The sequence below is a fragment of the Homo sapiens genome, chromosome 4, assembly GCF_000001405.40.
Source record: "Homo sapiens chromosome 4, GRCh38.p14 Primary Assembly".
In the NCBI taxonomy this organism is placed as follows: Eukaryota; Metazoa; Chordata; class Mammalia; order Primates; family Hominidae; genus Homo; species Homo sapiens.
The window spans coordinates 108,465,567-108,468,177 of record NC_000004.12 but is presented as its reverse complement, the minus strand read 5'-3'; the positions used below and the strand labels follow the sequence as shown (position 1 = coordinate 108,468,177).

General features: G+C 42.0%; 1 annotated feature.

Annotated features, from left to right (window-relative positions):
- Positions 694–873: an enhancer, noted in NCBI's record as "active region_21797". NCBI's record gives its function as "activates an Ori minimal core promoter by ATAC-STARR-seq in GM12878 lymphoblastoid cells {active_cell/tissue: GM12878}" and the evidence as "EXISTENCE:reporter gene assay evidence [ECO:0000049][PMID:35858748]".

Below are 2,611 nucleotides of genomic sequence, written 5' to 3'. Positions count from 1 at the left end.
GTTATCCACAATGGTAAGTAACTTGCTTGATAACAAACATTTTATTGGCTGCTTCCTTCCCTTTCTCAACTCCTCACCTTCCTATCAGTGTTTGCTAGCATTGCCGTTCAAATAAACCACTTGTATTGGATCCTTGTCTCAGAACCCACAGGAACTCAAACTAAGACAGTTGTGCTTATACCTTGCTACTAATAAGTAAAAAATTGGGGCCAGGTGCAGTGGCTTATGCCTGTAATCCCAGCATTTTGGGAGGCTGAGGTGGGTGGATAGCTTGAGCCCAGGAGTTTGAGACCAGCCTGGACAAAATGGTGATACTTCATTTCTACAAAAAACGCAAAATTAGCTGGGCATGTGGTGTGCGCCTGGAATTCCAGATACTCAGGAGGCTGAGGTGGGAGGATTGCTTGAGCCTGTAGGGCAGAGGTTGCAGTGAGCTGAGATTGTGCCACTGCACTCCAGCCTGGGTGACAGAATGACTTCCTGTCTCAATTTAAAAAAAATGAGGCTGAGTTAAGTATGATGGTTTGATTGAAAAATGGCTCCAATTTTGTACCCCTCTCTATATCCAAACCCTTTATAATGTGAGTTTGCAGCTCCTCCCACCAAGAGACAGAGTATATTTTTCCATTCCTTATATCTATATTGGCTTTGAAATTTGCTTTGGCCAACATAATGAGGTGGAAGTGACAATCTGCCAGTTTTAAGCCTAGGCGTCATGAAGTTTGGTGAGCTTCTGAACATGCTTGCTCTCTCACTCTTGCTCTTGCTTTCACTCTCTCAGAGGTCTTCCACCTGCATAAAAACAAGTCTAGGCTAGTTTCCTGGAGGCTAAAAGCACATATGGAACCAAACCCTTCAGAGGCTCTAGCCATCTGACACCAGCCAGCCCTTAGCTGACTCACCAGCTGACCACAGATACATGAATAAATCCAGCTATTCTCAGCCAAGTACAGCCCAGATCAGCAAAACAACCTAGAAAAATGAGAGACTTTGGGCAAAAATAAATGCTTATCCTGTAACCCACCGCTCTTTTCTATGCAGCACTTTTGTGGCAATAGATAACTGATGCAGGTACCGTGAGCTCTGTCGATTTCTGTTCTTTCCACTTCCTTCCTTTTGCCATAGCCTCTGCATACTCTCTGCTAGTGTTTGTAAATATATTAATATTTTCTTCTGATCACTGATTAAGCTGAAACTGCTAAGCAATGTGTAGTAGCCTCTGCCGTTAATTTTACTGCAATCTAAAGTTTCAGAAAATCTTTTTAGACCTTTCCTTCAGTTACTCTGCATATTGCATGTTGAGTAGCTAGTGTATTTTTATTAGAAATGATTATACTATAAGGAATTGTCTAAAGAGAGAGTAGAGGGCTTGAGGGAACACAGGGACCTCAGAGAACATAATGGGAAAGGACAATTCTCTCCAGAAAAAAACATTTTAAAACAGCAAAGAGAAGATGAGAGACAAGACCATGGCTCCATTTCTTCATTCTGCAAATTGTTCAGCTTCTACTTTGTTCAATGCTGAAGATTCTAGGGCGTATAAAAAGATGGTCCCTGCCTTTGAAGAACTAAGATTCTAGTAGAGGATTGTGCCCAGAACAAAAAAAAAATTAAGTAATTCTCTATGTTCTGGAAGTTTGAGAGAACATTTAGTAAATGCATGTTTCTTATTTGGGGATGATGTTAGACAATGAGAAAGTTCTTATGTGGCCTGAGGCTTCCTGGAGGGCAATGCGAAGAAGATCAAAAGCGCAAGGACTGGCAGGGTAAGGTCAGTACTAGTGGGAGGGAGGACTTGACAGAGAAGGAGCCGAGAGGGAATTCACAACCACCACCATGCTTCAGTGCATGCAGTGGAGTCCTGAGAATCTGGGAGGCTGGAGATGGCGAGGTGCATCCGGAGGGCTCCCATGCCTGCTCAGGAAGAGAAATAAAGCTTCTGTGGTTGCTGAGGGAAGTAGGTTTTATAGTCGCCCAGTAGTTCACAGATTTACAGAGAGTCTACATACTTAATGGCAATGAATGTGTCATTTGGTATTTGTGTTCATTAAACTTTTTAATAAAACTTTGGGTTAAGAGTGCTTATCTCATATTTCAGACATTCCCAGGAGTGCTTATAAAGTGGCTCGAAGTAGGAAAAATATGCCATTTGGCAATATTCCATGAAACTAATTACCATGAAGAAGTCATGGAAATTTGCACAGAAAGGCTTGCTGCAAAAATTTGAATCAATTCAGAAGATAATTTACCGAGTGTTGCCAGATTCTCATTATATCCCGTCCCTCACCTCCCGCATAGAAGCTTGAAAAGGTTCTGTCACTTTGCCTCCCTGAATTTCAACCATCTGAATTAGTCCCTTACAGTCTGACTTTTTAGGACCTCATGGAGGTCTGTATACTAACACTATGATAGAGCACGGTGTGTTTTTCTTTGCTTTTTAGAACAGACTCATTGACATGAAATACATCATCAAAGTTCCCAGTTTAGATCAAGTTCTCCGTGGTCATCTTCTGAGACACAGAAAATGGTATCATGTCAGCCACTTGAATGCCAGCTCCTTGAGGGCAATGATTTTACCAGTTCAGTTCAGCTCAATTGTATTCCCAGTGCC